Below are 18,912 nucleotides of genomic sequence, written 5' to 3'. Positions count from 1 at the left end.
GCTTTTGATATGTATCATAAAAATTTACATTTTGAAAGGTTGGGTCAATTTATATTACTATTGGCTATATATGAATGTAACTATTTTTTCCCACACACTCGATAACTGAGTAAGACCATTTTTAAAAAATTGCTGATTTGGTTGACAACTGGTGCTATTTTTAATTTTTTTATGTGAATTCATTGTCTTGTGAAATGTGTCTTAATGTTCTTTATACTGTGGTAGTCAGTTTCTTATTGAATTGTAGGTATCCAATTCATGATAGTTACAAATAATTAAATTGAACCAATATATAAAGATAATGAACATTGCAAATATGAATTAGCAACAAAAAAATTAGTATTTAGTAATTCTCAGTCCATTTCTTACCAGAAGAAATTAAAAGTCACTTCCTAATGTCAATTTCTTATGTTTATTTTTTATTTACCACCTCAGAATAATCATAATCTAAAAGTCTTATATGTATTTTTAGCTCCACCAGATCTGCAGAATTCTGAATGCCCATATGGACTCCCTGCAGTGGATTGATCGGAATTCAGGTGGGAGTTTGCTTGTATGCCACTCTGTGTATTTATTGCAAGTAGAAAACGTGATACATGTCAGTTGTATGCTCCATGACCAAACTCATATAAAAGCTGTTGTATGGGTGTTGCTTAACGCACAGTATGTGTATTATAGTTCTGAAAAACTGTAATTCCTTATTTTTTTAAATGAAGTACACATGGGATAAACTAGAAATTAATGAAAATAGAGGATGGATAGGAATGGGGCACATAGAATTGGGATAGAAGCAAGACTTCTATGAATATGCCTTTTTACACAGTTTTGACTTGGGGGCCATATAAATGTTTTACATACCAAAAAATTAGAATTAAGTCAAAAATAATGAGAAGGAAGACAAATACTAAAATTGAATACATACTGAAACTAAACAAACCTACATAACTAATTTATAACAATCGCCCAGTTCAGATAACTTTTGAACATAGTGTTCTTGATGATGCATCCTTCTAGGAGGTCATCTTAAGGATATAAGGAACATCAGGGAAATTTTAAACTTTCTCTTAATAGGTTTATTATTAGTTTCAGAATTATAATACCAGTATTACTACCATTTCATATATATTGAGAAATAAAGTAAAGCATATTAGTGATAATAGAAGTCAAGATTTTCATTGAAAGTCAAAGAGATACAAGTTATTTTTCCTCTTCTTTTCTATTTGCATTATAAATTTGAATTTAAGATATGAGTAATGAATTCCTGTTCCTTTGTTCTATACACAGAAATGGCCTAGAAGCAATGACAGACATATCCCAGTGGCAATGAGCACACCTAGAACCTAGATCTTGGTTTCTAAATGCCATTCACACTAAAAGGAACCAAGTCTTCTTGGGGAACTGTCTAATCTCATGCCTCAGGCTGGGAAAGTACAGAGTGAGCTTGAGACTTCTTGTGCAAGAAAGCAATCATTGTTCAGTGACTAATAAGGTTATATCAGGGCACAAGATTGTGCTTGAAGGGACTCCCACTGGCCACATTAGGATGGTTTGAACATCAAAAAGAATAGTAGTAGTAACAGATTATAATAGATTGAGGGAAAATAAAATCTCATGAATCTATAATGATACTCCAAAAAAAAGGAGGTACAGGAGAAAGTCTACAGAAGCATGCCAGCTAATTATTGAAAGAAGGAATGATAAAATTAGAAAACTGCTATTAATAAAACTTTCAACAGAACACTTTCATTAAGCTCACTCTCATCTTGAACACCTGCCTCATTCGTAAAATGTTCAAACTGTCATTTCTTGGCAGAAAAATATGCTAGCAGAAAATGTACCAAATACAGTCTGTAAGTTGCTGAGTTAATTTTTTCAAAACAGTTTTATTGAGGCATAATTTACATACCATAAAGTTCACCCATTTTAATTGTACACTTCAATGAGGAAAAGAGCCATTTTGCAACCCCAGCACAATCATTGATTCAGGCAAGGATCATCAATGAATGCTAAAACCATTGAGTTTAAGATCGCTGGAGAATAGGATATTTATGTGGTCTCAAAAATATCACTCCATAGATTACTGAATAGTTACAAAGGACAAAATGTGCCTTTACAACAGCTATCTAACTTGTACCACTTTAATGAAGTGATCAAACTTAGCCTCTCCAATAGTAGAATAACTGGACTTTATGTGCCTCTTGATCTGACATGATAAGAAGTATACAATACCATTTATGTAGTAGTCTTATCAAAAATGTTTAATTTGAATCTAATCATAAGAAAATAATCAGATATTCCACATGTGAGACATTCTGAAAGATGATGTAGTATTCTTACCCAAAATGTTTAACTTGAATCTAATCTCAGGAAAATAATCAGACATTCTATGTGTGAGACATTCTGAAAGATAATTGGCTTGGACTCTTCAAAAAGTTCGTTATGAGAAAAAAAATTCGAAGCAAGCAAACAAAAATAAGTGGATAGTCTTAGATTAAAAAAGGCATAACATTCAAGTCTACCTTGTTACCCTTGATTAGGTACTGATCAAAACTAAAAAGATATTGTTTAGAATATTGGGGGATTGAATATGGACTGTATATTAAATGATATTAAGGAATTGTTTATTTTACTAGATGTGATAGTTATTGATTATGTAGGAAAAGATCCTTATTCTTAGAAGATTCAGGCTATGTTATTTAGAGAATTCTCATGTCTGTGGTTTACTTTCAGCAAAAATTTGCAAAGAGGAAGATTTAGCAATTTGTGGCAAAATGTTAACAGTGGGTTAATCTAGGTAAAAGGCATACAAGTGTGTGGTTTTTACTATTCTCTCAACTTTCCTATAGACTTAAAAATTGGGGGGTGGAAATCATTTTTATAGACTTTGCCTAAATATGGAATATAATGAAGCCTAAGGAATTAAGACAAATGGGAGCTAGTTAACCAGAGTTAACTACTTTTAAAGATGTGGCCTTAAAATAATACAAATTTTATTATTTGGCATGCTAGATTTTTCATTTTCTGCATTAATAGAGGTCATCAACCATGAACTTCTTCAGCTTCTTTCCCTTCCAGACATACCTATATCATCATTCATCTTTACTTCCTTCTCTCCTGTGTTAAGGAAAAAATATTCTATCAATTTTGAAACTATTTTGAATTATCAGAGGGAGGTTAAATTCTATATCGCTTTAATATTTTTTAAAACTGCCTGATGGGGAGAGTTTCTAAGTCAGATAGATACGGGTTCAAGTCAAGGCATTACCACTTAATTGTTGTGTGACCTTAATTGTTACTTAATCTCTCTGAGTCTGTATCTTCATTTTTAAAATGAGGGATAATATCTATCTTTTAGGGGTTTTGTAAGGATTAAAAGAAGCAATGTCAGTAAATGGTAGTGGCAGAACTGGTTACTGATTATCAGAATTTACTATGTTTGTGTGGTCAGGTAAGAGAAAAGAAGGGTCATGTGATTCAAAAGGTAGCTATTAAATTGGATCTAGAGAAGGTAGTTCCAGGTAGTTTATCACCAAAAACCACTTACCTAGACAGGTTATAAGAACTGCTGAGATGTGAGAGTGTCAGTAACTAGAAAACACTCAGGAATGAGATTAAACAATGCTTGACTTAGTTGTCTTCCTGTCGCATATTTTTCTACAGTGATCAGTGCTTCTCGGGTAGAGTTGAGGAAGGTGTCAAAAAGTAATTTGGGCTGTAGAGAAAAATTATAGTGATTTTTTTCTCTTGGCAGGGATTCTCTTTGTCATAAATGAAATCTCAAGGCTTTCAGCCAGTGTTTCCTTAATAAAATTAAGATTGTTAGCATTGAAAAGGGACTTACTTTATTTAAATGGAGAAACTGTGGCTCAGAGAGGTTGAATGACTTCTTTAAGAACACACAGCTAATTAATGGCAGAGCTAGGACCAGGATCCAGACTTCCTTATTATCAGAATGGTGTTCTTTCTTCTGGTATGCTCTTAAAACAATTGTAATGTAGGATCACTAAATATAAAAACAAATCTTAGTCATGTACCTAATAGTAGAGGACAAAGGTTATCAAAGTATGATAGTACTTTGGATAGGATATAAGTTCTAGGTATCTGGGGAAAGTTCTAAGTAAACACAGGATAAAAAGAGTAAAACAATGAAGAGTAATGATTACTTGGAGTTACTTTTTTGCTAAAAATTCATTTGAGCTGGAGAGGCGATGAGATTTCATATTGGTTCTCAACTGAGACAAAGGAGGCCATGAAAAAGAATGAGAAAAAAAGCCTGGTATTTCTTGACTGTGGGCTCCTTTTTGCCATTCCCACCCAAGGAGACTTTCTTTTTCATATCAGGAAATGACAAGATGAAGAAATTGAGAGTGGCAGGGTTTAATTATGCTGTCTTAAGAGAGGTTGTTTTTTGTTGTTTTATTTTGTTTTTTAGTAGTTAATTGGATCATGTATGCTGAAATGATCTGTGGACTGAAAAGTTTTTTGAGTAAGCTCAATGAATCCATTTATTTCTACTCAAATAATCGTTATAGAAAAAGTAATAGATGTGTTATTTTAACAATACAAATATTATAGTTTTTTACTAAAGAGAAATCTTCAACTTGTATATAATCAAATCTTTATTTTAAAAGGATTCTGGGAAATGTTTTGATAATTCAATATCTTTAATTTTAGTACACATTTTTTTCCATCATAAAACATGACAACTGTTGCACTAAGAAGATCATATATTTAACTAAAAAGTTGGCTCTTTAAAAGTGATTTGGAGGCTGGGCACTGTCTCTCATACCTGCAATCCCAGCACTTCAGGAGGCCAAGGTGGATGGATCGCTTGAGCCCAGGGATTCGAAACCAGCCTGGGCAACAAAGTGAGACCTCATCTCTTAAAAAAAAAATAGCTGGGTGTAGTAGCACACACCTGTGGTTCCAGCTACTTGGGATACTGAGGTAGGAGGTTTGAGCTTGGGAGTTCGAGGCTTCAGTGAGCCATGATTGCATCACTACACCCTAGCCTTGGTGACAGTGAGACTGTGTCTAATAAAAAAGCGTGATTTGGAAATGAAACATTACACTTTAAATATGTTAAAATATTACATAAAAGTCCAGTCAACTTTTCAATATCCATGAATAAGTTACAGAGAACTAGGCCCCTTTCTTTCTCTAACTTATGTGATGGGTTAGATAAGTGATGGGACTGAACTAGAAAGGTGTCAAAGTACTAGATAATTGAATTAAGGAGTGTCTGAACATGTGTAGGTAATGACCAGTTTTTACATTTGATATTTCCCTCCTTTGTTTAACATTAACTATGCCTTTTTTCCTCCCGATCAGTCTAGATAATTGGGAATTAGTAGTAACTATAGTCAAATACCAGTTTCCCCTCTTGTTATTCTCTTTGTAAAAATTTACAACATTATTTTGAGGTTGACTTGATGGCAATGCTGCAGTCACACATCTGTCTTCTGAGTTGGTAGTCATTGAAACTGCAGCAACTCCAGTTCTTCTGGGACCACTTATGACAGAATTGGCAATGCATCTGAACCAATTCGTTACTAGTTTTAAGTATATGGTGCTACTTCTCTTAGAGAGGCAACATGGGGTGAGGGATAGGCATTTTCTGTTTCTTCATATACCAAACCATAATCATGTCTGGTAATATTTATCCAACACCCCAATAAAGGAACGGGCAATGGAAAAATCTTATACTTGTAATTATTTGAAAGTTCACTGAGTATTTTCATGGCATTTTACTTCTTTCATAAAGTATCCCAAAGCTTCAAGACTAAAATATATTTCTTCCACAATTATTGCAGTCTCTTAAGGAATAGAACTGGATAATTATTTAATAGCTGCTCACAACATTTAGGCTGCTATTTAGGGCAGAGTTACTCCTTAGAGTAACTATAAGCACCATAGGGATTTTGTAATATTTCCAAAATAAAATCCCATTAGTACTAAGCTGAATGGCTATGAACACCTTATTTTTTTGGTGCAAAACATTCTTAGTTGTCTCTCATGATTTGACTAACTCTTGCATAAAATGTCATAGGATCATTTTAGAGAAGTAGTTTTGTGTGATATGTAATAATCATACTTTATATTTACCCAGTGTTAATATTTATTGTCTGAGGGTATTGCTTTTAATTAGATTTTTTGGAGTAGGATTTTTTTAAGAAGCTTTGGTGCAGACAAGAAAGATTTTTTAAAAATACATATATTATATGTATTTTTTGAGACAGAGCCTCACTCTGTCACCCAGGCTGGAGTGCAGTGGCATGATCTCGGCTCACTGCAACCTCTGCCTTCCGGTTCAAGTGATTCTGCCTCCCGAGTAGCTGGGACTACAGGCACGCACCACCATACCCGGCTAATTTTTGTATTTTTTGGTAGAGACAGGGTTTCATGGTGTTGGCCAGGCTGGTCTCGAACTCTTGGCTTCAAGTGATCCACCGCCTCGGCCTCCCAAAGTGTGAGGATTACAAGCATGAGCCACCACACTCGGCCTAAAAATATTTTTATTAATTACTTTCATCCATCCCTCTCATATCTGAAGAGTATCAGATGCTGAGATGCCAAAAGATGCCTTTGAATTCCAATTAAGGTGCCTTCTTCCTGTTTCGTCTTCTAGAATAGAATCTGATTTACTGAGCAAGGTTGTTTCATTTACTTCCTCTTTTTCTTTAATTCTTTGGGAAATCTTGGTGGCATTGGTTGATTGGTGAGGTCATCTCTTGTGTTCTTGAGTATAATGTTCCACTTCACCTACTTGAAAAGTGAATGCCCTTGTTCTGCCAGAGATGCGGCAGCAACACAAAGATATCTCTGTTTGTGAGGTTCACTTTTAGCGTCTCTTAACCTCAACAGAGACACTTGGTTGTTCCCAGTGCAGTTAATTGAAAGGTATTTTATGTCTTTCCACTGTTTATTAGCCACTTGCTCATCTTTGTTCCCCTTTACAGACAAAATAGATTTTTTGTCACACCTTTGTCTCTTGATTCTGAAGAACTTCTTGTAGGTTTGATTAGGGTACTAAAATTAGAATTGAGCAAGTATTCAGCTGCTGTTAGGAAAGCACATGTATGTGATGGTTAACATTCTCAGAGCTCCACTTCCCAAACTTCCTTTTCTATATGTAAATCCAGATTTGAAATACACTCAATACATCTGCAAAATTAGATTTCTCACTAATCCTACTTATGTACATTTTGTGCCCAAGTGAATTTCCTCAAGTTGGAGAGACTCCCCAGATGAAATATGTAACATAATTTAAATCACTTCCAAATAGCAGAATATATATTGTTTGTGAGAAGGACGGATTTTTCTCCAAAGTAATTTTATTTCTGTTACTGACCAAAAAACAAACACCGTACACTGGAGTCTTACTCTAATGCTTTTTTTGGGGCCCATCTCAATGGCCACCTCATGGATAAGATAAACTGATGGTATTTCACCAGTTAAACTTTGCCAGATGGGATTCAGATAGGCCAGCCACATTCTAAGCACTTCAGTGTTTGAAGGGACAACAAATAGTATTTGCTGCAATGCCAGTTATTAGCTCAGCATAATACTTTTTATTAAAAAATTGCACAGCATTTGGCAAACAGGTGTACTGTAACAGAAAAAGCACTCTTGTATGGGAATCTAAAGATACAGGTCATAGTAGAAATTCATTAGCTTTGGCCTTTGAGAGGTAACTTAACCTTCTTGAGTTTTTAATTATTTGTTCCATCCCAGGGTATTGTGGGTAATATATATGGGCATTTTGAAAACTGAGTGCTATATAATTGGAAGATGTTCTTTTAGATGCCAGTTGAAACAGCACAGTAGCTGTGACTCTAAATACAAAGCATCTACTATATGCCAAGTCATTGTGTATCTCAGTGTAGGAGGTATAAATATTAATGGCACCTCTGCCTTGAACAGATACAAAGTGAGGGGGTAGGGGTATGGTAAAGGAAGAAGAACATAATATTCAGTTGATTTCCTAGAAAAGGTAGAATTTGAAATGAGACTTGAATAAGTAATAATTTCAACAGGATGACTGAATAAAGACCACTTAAGATATAATAATTCTACTACATTTTTCTCCTCTGCCTCCATGAATTCAGGATGCTTTCACCATCTTTTCTTTTTACACTCTTCCTTGAAATGTATTTTTTATTAATTTTGTGTGAAGGGCAGTGCTACACACAAGCAGAATGTCTTGTCACCACCTTAATATATCAGTGGCAAGACCAGTATGTGTATTCTCATGGCAGAAATGGAGCTTTGTACATCTCTGTAAATACTCTTTCTCCCATCAGACATACTTAGCACTAGGAATTCAGGTACATTAATTCTGAGTGTAACTTTGATTTTAATAAACTGGGTATCTTAAAAGAATCTATGAGTAGTGAGAAGACAGTATTCTCTCTTTCATCCTCTTCCCTCTCCCCTCTCCCTGTATCCTTCCCTTCCTCCGTTTCTGAATGAGAAATAAACCTTAATTATGGCAAGCCCCTAAGATTTCAAGGTTGCTTTTAAACAGCCTAACTAACAACCTCACTAACATAGAAGGTAGATTGGACAATAACTGAAACCTTAAAATGTGGCACTGGCTTAGCAGGCAGGCAACAATGAGGAAACATACGGTGAAGGCTGAAAAGATGGCCAGCCATATTAAGCAGTTAGAACAGATTTGGTAAAACTGTTGCCTAACATAAATTGGGGGTCATATTATATGGTTACTGAGCTGGCAGTTGTAGGAAAAGAGGTTGGGAATCAAAACTTATTTGTGTGCGTTGGTCTTTTTTTAATTGAAGTTTCTATTGAGGTAGTTGTAGAATAATATAGAAGTCATGTTAATTCTTTACCTAGTTTTCCTCAGAGGCAACATCTTGCAAAACTGTAGTACAGTATTACAACTAGGATATTCACATTGATAAAATCTAATCTACTTCAGATTTCCCCAGTTTTACTTGTGTGTGTGTATTTAGTTCTGTACAGTTTTATCACATGTAGATTTGTATATCTACCACCATAGTCAAGATACAGAACAGTTTCATACCACATTTCCTCATGTTCCCCCTTTAATCACAGCATCCACCTTCCCTCCCTTCTACCAAGTTCCCTTACCCACCCCTCTACCGCATTTCCTAATTAACTCCTTGGCAACCACAAATCTATTTTCTATTTCTAAAATTCTATCATTTCAAAATACATAAATAGAGTCATACAGCATGTAACCTTTTGGGATTGGCTTTTTTCCCCCTCAGCATAATTCTCCAAAGATTCATTGTGTTTCTGTGTGTATCAATAGTTTGATTCTTTCTATTGCTGAGTAATATTCCATGGTATGGGTATACCGCAGTTGGTTTAACCATTCACCTGTTGCAGGACATCTGGGCTGTTTCCAGTTTTAGGACATTATGAATAAAACTGCTGTGAACATTTATGTACAGGTTCTTTTGTGAATGTAAGTTTTCATTTCTCTGGGATAGATATCCAAGAATACAATTGCTGGATCATATGGTAGTTGTGGGTTTAGACACTGCCACATTATTTTCCAGACTGGCTGTACCATTTTATGTATCCCCCAGCAGTGTATGAGTGATCCAGTTTGTCTGTGTCCTCACCAGCATTTGGTATTTTCGCTATTTTTCATTTTAGCTCTTGTAATGGAGGTGTAGTGATATCAAGGCAGTTTTAAGTTGCATTTCCCTGATGAATGATGGTGCTGAACCTTTTCCTGTACTTACTTCCCATCAGTATAAACTTTTCAGTGAAATGCCTGTTTGTGTCCTCTGTCCATTTTCTAATCAAATTGTTTATTTTTTACTGTTGTGTTTTGAGAATCTTCATGTGTTCTAGATGCAAGTCTTTTGTCACATATGTGGTTTGCAAATATTTTCTCGCAGTCTGTAGCCTATCTATTCATTTTCTTAGTAGAGTTGTTCACAGAACAAAGTTTTTTAATTTTGATGCAATGCATTTGATCAGTTTTATTTTATGGATTATGTTTATGGTGTCCAGTCTAAGAACTTTTTGCCTAGCCCCATATCCCCAAGATTTTTTCCTATATCTTTTTTCTACAAGTTTTATCATTTTACATTTAAGGCTGTGACCCATTTTGATTTAATTTTTATATAAGATAGGAGGCTTAGATTAAGATTCTTCTTTTTTTTCCTACAAATATCCAGTTGTTCCAGCACCATTTTTGAAAAAGTATCCTTCCTCAATTAAATTGCTTTTGTGCCTTAAAAAACAACAACAACAAAAAACCTGTTTGACATATTTGTGTGGGTCTTTTTCTGAGGTCTCTATACTATGGGTCTATGTGTCTTTCCCCCAATGCTTTCATTACTATAGCCATACAGTAAGAAGCCTTAGTATCTGGTAGAATGATTCTTCTCACTTTATTCTACTCTGTCAAGATTGTTTTAGTTTCCATGAAAATGTCCTGGGATTTGATAGGAATTGCATTTAACCTATAGATCAATTTGGGGAGAATTAACATCTTTACTGTGTTGAGTCTTCCCATCTATGAACATATGTCCCAAAATTTATCTAGGTGTTCTTTGATTTCTTTTATGAGCATTTTGTAATTTTCATCACCCACATCACATACATGTTTTGGTTTTGTTAGATTTATACCTTAGTATTTTATTACTTTGTAGTGATTATGAATGGTATTATGTTACGCAAGTTTTTGTTAGTGTAAAATCAACACAATTTTTGTGTGTTGATTTTATATCTTTTGACATTGCTGAACTCACTTGTTAGTTCTAGGCGGTTTTTTTGTGTGGATTCCTCGGAATTTTCCTTATAGACAGTTATGTCATCTGCAAATAGAGTATTATTTCTTCCTTTCCAATCTGTATGTCATTTATTTCTTTTTCTTGTCTTTTTGCACTGGCTAGAACTTCCAGTATACTATGTTGAGTAGTAGTGATAAGAGCAGACATCCTTGCCTTGTTCCTGATCTTATGTGGAAAGTCTTCAGTCTTTCACCTTAAGTATGATGTTATTTGTAGATTTTTTTTGTAGACGCCCTTTATCAAGTTGAGGTAATTCCCCTCTGGGAGTTTTTGTTTGTTTGTTTGTTTTACCATGAACAGGTACTGGATTTTGTCAAAATTCCTTTTCTGTAGCAATTGACATAATCATGATTTTTCTTCTTTAACTCATGATACAGTGGATTACATTGAGATATAATAATTTTATTTTATTTTATGTTTTGAGACAGAGTTTCACTCTTGTTGCCCAGGCTGGAGTGCAATGGTGCAAACTTGGCTCACTGCAACATCCGCCTCCCAGGTTCAAGCGATTCTCCTGCCTCAGCCTCCCAAATAGCTGGGATTACAGACGTGCCACCACACCCAGCTAATTTTGTATTTTTAGTAGAGACAGAGTTTCACCTTGTTGGTCAGGCTGCTCTCGAACTCCTGACATCTGGTGATCCACCCACCTCAGCCTCCCAAAGTGCTGGGATTACAGGCATGAGCCACCACGCCCAGCCTACGTTGATATATTTTCAATCTTGAGTCAGCCTTACATATGTGGAATAAATTCTACTTGGTCAGGGTTTATAATTCCTTTTATACATTGTAGCCAAATACATCTAGTCTTTTGTTGAGGATTTTTAAATGTATGAGAGATTTTTCAAGTGTTCATGATATGTATTGGTTGGTAGTTTGGGGCATTTTTTGTTTTGTTTTCTTTTGCTGTTTCTGCCAGGTTTTGGTAATAGTATAATACTGGCCTTTATTTTTTAGAAGGATTTGTGAATAATTGGTATTAATTCTTCTTTAAGTGCTTGGTAGAATTTTCCAGTAAAGTTATCTGGGCCTGGATATTTTGTTTTTGAGAGCTTTTAAGTTACAAATGGAATTTCTTTAATGTTTCCAGGACTATTCAGATTATCTGTTTCATCTTGGTTGAGATCTCATAGTTTGTAGTCTTTTAGGAATTGGTGCATTCCTGCTAAGTGGTTGACTTTATGAGTATAAATTTGTTGATAGGATTTCCTTTTTACCCTTTTAATGGCAGTAGGATCTGTAGTGGTATACCCTGTTTCCTGGTTTTGGTGATTTGTGTTTTCTCTATTTTTTTTTCTGTCTTGCTAGAGGTTTATTAATTTTATTGATTTTTTTCAGAGTCAGCTTTTTGTCTCGATGTTTTTCTGTGATTTTTCTGTTTGCAATTTCATTGATAACAACTCTTTGTTATTTTCTTCATTCTGCTTGCTTTGGGTTAATTTTGCTCTTTTTCTGTTTTCTTAAGGTAAGAACTTAAGATTATTGATTTGCAAACTCTCCTTCTTTTTAATAAGTGACTTATGGGTTGGAGGGTAGCATATACAGCGTGGGTGTTGTTAGACAAAGGGATGATTCACATCCTGGGTGGGGCAGAGCTGAACTGTGTAAGATTTCATCACACTACTCAGAATGGTGCACAATTTAAAACTTATACATGGTTTATTTCTAGAAATTTTTATTTAACATTTTCTGACCACAGTTGACCACTGGTAACTGAAATCACGTAAAGTGAAACCATGCCTAAGGGAGGACTACTGCATTCTCCTTATTTATTTATTTATTTATTTTTGCCAACGCGCCCAGCTAAGGGCTCATTTTTAATCATAAATAATATTGCCTAATATTACAGCTGACATTCCATTATTACCTTGCCTAGTAGGTTTCCAGAGAAACAGTGTTGAAAGCCAAACTCGAGGTCATTTCACCAGGGAGAAAGAAAAGGTTTTATTAACCCTTTACTCATAGCAGTCCAGGGTAATCTCACAGTATCAGGACCCAGTCTCCTATATTGCTGCTCTGCCATTCATGGCTTCTATTTCCAAGGTTACTTTGAAGTCCAAGAATCCTGCTGGAGCTCTAGCTACCACATCCATGTTCTAGCAGGAACAGAAGATGAGCCCACCTGCTTCCCCTTAAGCCTTTAAGTTTAAAGAAACTTCCCAGAAGCACCACTAAGCACTTGTTATTTTCTTTTTTCTTTTTTTTCCCATCACTCAGCACTTCTTATTCCATGTCAATTCCAGAACTTAGTCATATGACCACATGTATCTGCAAGGAAAGCTAGGCACATTGCTAACCTGAATAAATTATGGGATTCTGATACAAAGCAAAAAAGGGAGAACAGATCATTGGGTCAGGCAATTAGCATGCTCTCCTATACATACATAAGGGGGAAACAATAAGCTTTTTATTAAAAGCTGAGACTAAAAAAATGTCACATAAATTAGCTGGGCATGGTGGCACATGCCTATAATCCCAGCTACTTGGGAGGCCGAGGCATGATAATCGCTTGAACCTGGGAGGCAGAGGTTGCGGTGAGCCAAGATCATGCCACCGCACTCCAGCCTGGGCAACAAGAGTGACAGACTATCAAAAAATAAAAAAATTAAAAAGTCATGTAGACATTGGGATATAGATGATTGCTTATAATCATCTGCTTATGATTTTAAAATGCTTTTTATCAAGGTAAGTCATTTTCCAATGAAATACAAAACTTTTGAAAGAAAAAAATTCTTTGGGCCAGGCATGATGGCTCACACCTGTAATTATAGCACCTTGTCGAGGCAGGAGGACCACTTGAGCTCATGAGTCCGACACCAGCCTGGGCAACACGACAAAACCCCGTCTCTACAAAAAATACAAAAATAAGCTGGGCATGGTCGCACACGCCTGTAGTCCCAGCCACTAGGGAGGCTGAGGTGGGAGGATGGCTTAAGCCCAGGAGGCGGAGGTTGCAGTGAGCCCAGACTGCGCCACTGCACTACAGCCTGGGCGACAGAGCCAGAACTTGATTTAAAAAAAAATTATTCATCCTAGAACGTTAGCTCTCTAATCTGTTAAAATAGTTTTATCTCCATCAATTGTGAGATGTAATTAACATGAGGTATATTTTAACTTACTGGTGCTAGGTTAAACTATAGGAAATTGCTGTTTTTTGTAGTCAGAAACAATAAAATATTGGCAATTTTACACAGGTCAACCTGTAACAAAGTATCAAAGGGTGTGAATAATTTACTTAAAAAATATAAACTAGCACAGATTTAGTTTACTGCCATGATAAAATGACTAATACAGCTGAATTTCAATAATCTTTCTCAAGTGGGAAAGGAGCAAAATTACATCTGGAATATTTGGAATTGTTCCTTTATCCTTAAGCACTTCAAAATTCTTTTTCTGTTCCTAGATAAAATACTTATTGTAGTAGACTAAAAATAGGCCCCAAAGACTTCCATGCCCTAATCCCTAGTATTATGCCTGTGTATGTTAAATGACCTAGCAAAAGAGACTTTGCAGATGGAATTAATGTTGTTTTGTTTTGTTTTGTCTTTGAGATGGAGTCTCGCTCTGTCGCCCAGGTTGGAGTGCAGTGGTGCAATCTCAGCTCACTGCAACCTCCACCTCCCGGGCTCAAGCAATTCTCCCACCCCAGCACCCTGAGTAGCCGGGACCACAGGTGTGTGCCACCATACCTGGATAATTTTTGTATTTTTAGTAGAGACGGGGTTTCACCATGTTGGCCAGGCTGGTTTCAAACTCCTGACCTCGTGATCCACCCGCCTCGCCTCCCAAAGTGCCGGGATCACAGGCGTGAGCCACTGCGCCCGGCCAGAATTAATCTTATACACCTTCAGCAGGGTGCAGTGGTTCATGCCTGCAATCCCAGCACATTGAGAGGCCAAGACAGGAGGATCACCAGAGCCCAGGAGTTCAAGACCAGCCTGGGCAACATAATGAGAACCCATCTCTTAAAAAAAATGTAAAAAAACAGCCAGGCATGGTGGTGTGTGCCTGCAGTCCCACCCACTCAGGAGGCTGAGGTGGGAGGACTGCCTGAGCCCGGGAGTTCAAGGCTGTAGTAAGCCGCGGTCATGCTACTGCACTCCAGCCTGGGCGACAGAGCGAGACCCTGTCCCAAAGGAAAAAAAAAAAAGTTATCGATCTTAAAATAGGGAGATTATCCACGTGGGCCCAGAGTAATCAAATAGACATTTAACAGTAGGAATGGAAGACAGCAGGGTAGGTCAGAGAGAGGGATGATGGAAGAAGTAACAGGAATGATTCAAAATGGGAGAGGGACTTCACCCACTATTGCAGGCTCTGAAGAAAAGGGGATCATGAGCCAAGGAATGAAGGCAGCCTTCAGAAGCTAGAAATGACCCTCAGCTAACAGACAGCAAGGAAAGGAGACTTTGATCCTTCAACTGCAAAGAACTGAATTCTGCCAACAACTGAATAAACAAGGAAATGGATTTGCCCCCAACCCCAAAAACTCCATAAAGGAATGCATTCCTGCCAGCACTTTGAATTTAGGCCAGGTAAGACCCGTTGTCACACTTTTCACCTACAAAACTATAAGACAATACATTTGTGTTAACTCACTGAGTTTGAAGTAATTTGTAACAGCCTCAAAGGAAAACTTATATACTTAACTTAATAAAACCTCGAATTTAAAGGACTCAGAAGGGTCCCTAAAGTCATTTACAAGTATTTCATTTTACTTATTTTTTGAGACAGGGTCTCACTGTGTCACCCAGGCAAGAGTACAGAGGCGCAAACGCAGCTCACTGCAGCCTCGACCTCCCATCCCAGGCCATCCTCCCAGGCCAGCTGCCCAGTAGCTGGTACCACAGGCATACGACACTATGTCCAGCTAATTCTAAAAAATTTTTTGTAGAGACGGGGCCTCCCCACGTTACCCAGACTGGTCTCAAACTCCTAGGTCCAAGTGATCCTCCCACCTCGGCCTCCCAAAGTGCTGAGATTACAGGTGTGAGCCACTGCACCCAGCCCAAACTGTATTTTAAAAATCCAATTCATGTCTGGTCCCAAATGATTCTGGTAAAATAAGTTGTGTTATGACTGGATATGTGTGTATAGCCAGTAAAATGCAATAAAACATTAAAAGACTGAAAGCTACACAGCAATTATTTTTATGTAAGAACTCTAAAAAGTTCTTGACAAGTTATTATGGGAAACATTTCATCTAGGAGTGATTTCTAAGGCAGCATTTGAGTTTCCATAAAAACAGAACTTTCTCAGAAGGTATATCAATAAGAGGACCAGAATCTTCTATTTCCAAGTGCATTGGTTTCTCCTGTTCACAACTCAGGTTTGAACTCTCGTTCATTTGAATCTTTTCCTCTTCCAATTCCAAAGATTTATCTGGGGCTGAAGCTACCACTTCTTCGTCTTCATTTTCATGTAGAAAGCTACAAATCATGTTGGGTCGATAGGAGAAATCATTATCCTTTATTTGCAACCATTCCATCCCACCTATGTTTTCTTCTCCTTCCTTCTTCTCTGTCAGAAGAGTTCTTGTCATGCTGAGCTTCTTCATTGTATGACATTTATATTTTAACACTGTTTTATTATTGCCTTCTGTATCAGCATGTTCAACATTTTCTTCAAATATAACACAGGTCCCAAGAGTGTCTTCATACTCCCCAGCAAAGACACAGCTGTCCACTTGCAGAATGGGCCTCTCAGTGTCAATGCCCAAAACCTTGCATTTATTTTCACATTTGAGAGAAAGTCTGAATCAATAATTCCTGATAATTCCACTAGAACCAACTGCTCCTCCTCTTCCTCCTCTTCTCCATCCTCCAGATCCCGCTAGTCGGCCGCGGCCTTGGTCCCGCGGCGCCTCGCCTACTAGTCACTGGCGACGCGGAGCTGCCATCTTGAGTACCGGCCCTACATTCTCTTTTAAGGCATTTCTGATAATCAGCAATTTAAAAACCCTAGTTGTTATCGCCAACTGTCAATTTCACTAATGGTTCCTTTACTATCCATTATAAAGCTCCATGTTAACAAACATCTGCACATAGATATCCCAAAGGCTCAAATTAAACTTGTCTAAAACTAAACTCCTTATTTTCATATTCTCCCGGGTCTCCCAGATCTGTAACTCCTTTTCTTTTTCTCAGCAAAAGACTGCTGCTATTTACTCAGGAATCTAAAGCAGGCTATTTCTATTTCTTCAGTAAGTGATGATGATTATACTTCTTAAATAGCTCTTGAATCCTTTCTCTTCACTAGTTTCCCACTACCACATCCCTATTTCAGGCTTTCTTTGTCCCCCACCTTGAAAATATAATTTTTTTCAGGTTTATGAAAAACATCAGCTCCTTGTCCATACCTTATTTTCTTACTCCCTAGGGGCAATCACTTTCAATTATGTTAGCTAAATTTTGCAACTATTTATTTTTATATTTTTAAACATCATGTAGTGTTACTTTTTAGTTTTTCCGTATTAGGCCTTCTCTACTGACTTTCCAAAATGGGTGGAGGGGAGGATTTAACTCTTTTACATCATATATACATATATACACACACACACATTTTCCTCATCCTAATATGTATATATTATAAATTTCACATAAATCAATATTTAATATTTGGATTATGATTGCATAAATGTTATTTGCAGCCTGGCCATGTAGTATACTATATTATGTCTTCTTCCTTTTACAAGTTTTATTTTCCTTTGAGTCTTATTTCTTTATTTACTTAGTTTTCTATATACTTTTCTAAGTCCCTGCTTTTACTGTAAATCTATCAGTTGCCTCTTTGATTCATCTCTGCCAGAGTCCTCTAATCTCCATACTACAGTCCTTAATTGTTGCTTTCTTGATCTGCTGCTCGGCTATGGTCTGTCTTCTATAGCATTCTTATATTGACTCTACTCTTTGTTGGTTCTCCAGTTTCATGGCTCTTACTTACACTTCTGTTTCTTGGTTTATTCCCTTGTTTCTGATATAGCACATATTCTAGCAGTTTCCAGAAAGAGTGCATAGGAAGTAAACTTTTTGAGACCTTGCCTGTCTGAAAAGGTGTTTATTCTACCTTCACATCTAATCGATAATATCGGGTATTGAATTTTAGCTTGGAAATAATTTTCCCTGGAACTTTTGAAGAAGTTGTTCTGTTGTTTTCTAACTTTGAGGGCCATTTTGATTCCTGAACCTCATGTGAACTTTTCATTGTGTTTTTCAATGGAAGGTTTTAGGATCTTCCTCAAAATACTGAAATATCAGATGATGCGTTTTGGTGTGGATCTGTTTGACCCACTGAGCCCATTATTGGTGACTCAAGGAATTCATTTCTTTCAGTTTGGGTCTATTTTCTTGAATTAAGTTTTTGCTCATTCTTTCTGGAAATACTGTTTTTCTAATGTTTGATGCCCTGGACTGATCTAAATTTAATTTCTCTCCTATTTTCTCGTTATATTTTTGTTAAATTTTCTGGGGTATGTACTCAACTTTTTATTTGTCTTTCTACTGATCTTTGATTTCTGCTATAAGTTTAATTTTGCAAGAGATGTTGTGTTGTTTTATGATTATATATATGTACTTTGTAAATAGCATCCTGTTCTTATTTCATGAATTCAGTATTATCTCTTTGAGGATATTAATGATTTTTTAAATGTATGTTTTATTCTTTCTGGAGTATTTCTTTTAGCTTTCTTTATATTTCTGTTTTGTTTCAGTCTTTCTCATGTTAGAGGCTTTCCCCAAATATCTGGTGATTCTTGGTTGTCCATTTATATTCAAGAATGATATACTGAAAAGTTTTGTAGGTGGGGCTTGTTAACTTACTATAGGATAATTTGGCTAGACATTTTCATTGGGGGACCTCTAACTGTTATCTTCAGGATTTATCTCTTTAGCTGGTCAAATTCTCTGGAGAAGAAACTTCCAGCTCCTGGCTAGAGATAAGCCTGGTGTTAAGCCAGTGTTCTGAGAACTGTTAGAGAAGAGACTGCAGGCTTAGTGTTCAGCTTGTAGGCTTTCACTTTATCCCTGTATAACTTTGACTTAATTCCCGTTTTGGTACAGAATACTTGCCCTCTGCTCTGCCTGGTGTCCCTGATCCACAGCTTATTTGGTTCACCCTC

The 18,912-nt window shown here is 36.5% G+C and overlaps 1 protein-coding gene and 1 pseudogene across 3 annotated transcripts in view; one reads left to right on the top strand and one right to left on the bottom strand.

Moving 5' to 3' along the window:
- NUP62CL (nucleoporin 62 C-terminal like) overlaps positions 1 to 18,912 on the top strand; it is an 83,007-nt gene that overhangs the window by 58,152 nt on the left and 5,943 nt on the right. For 2 of the 3 annotated variants that reach the window (NR_033676.2, NM_017681.3), the window contains one exon: positions 473 to 539. The exons of the other annotated variant lie outside the window; for it this stretch is intronic. Coding sequence is in view for 1 of the 2 variants with exons in the window: in NM_017681.3 (NP_060151.2) it covers positions 473 to 497 (25 nt within the window). In the remaining variant the exon portion in view is untranslated. The remainder of the gene's footprint in view (positions 1 to 472; positions 540 to 18,912) is intronic. 3 annotated transcript variants of the gene reach the window in all.
- GTF3C6P2 (GTF3C6 pseudogene 2) lies at positions 15,931 to 16,704 on the bottom strand (annotated as a pseudogene).

This window comes from Homo sapiens, chromosome X, assembly GCF_000001405.40.
Source record: "Homo sapiens chromosome X, GRCh38.p14 Primary Assembly".
Lineage (NCBI taxonomy): Eukaryota > Metazoa > Chordata > Mammalia > Primates > Hominidae > Homo > Homo sapiens.
This window is presented reverse-complemented; position numbering and strand designations above follow the sequence as displayed.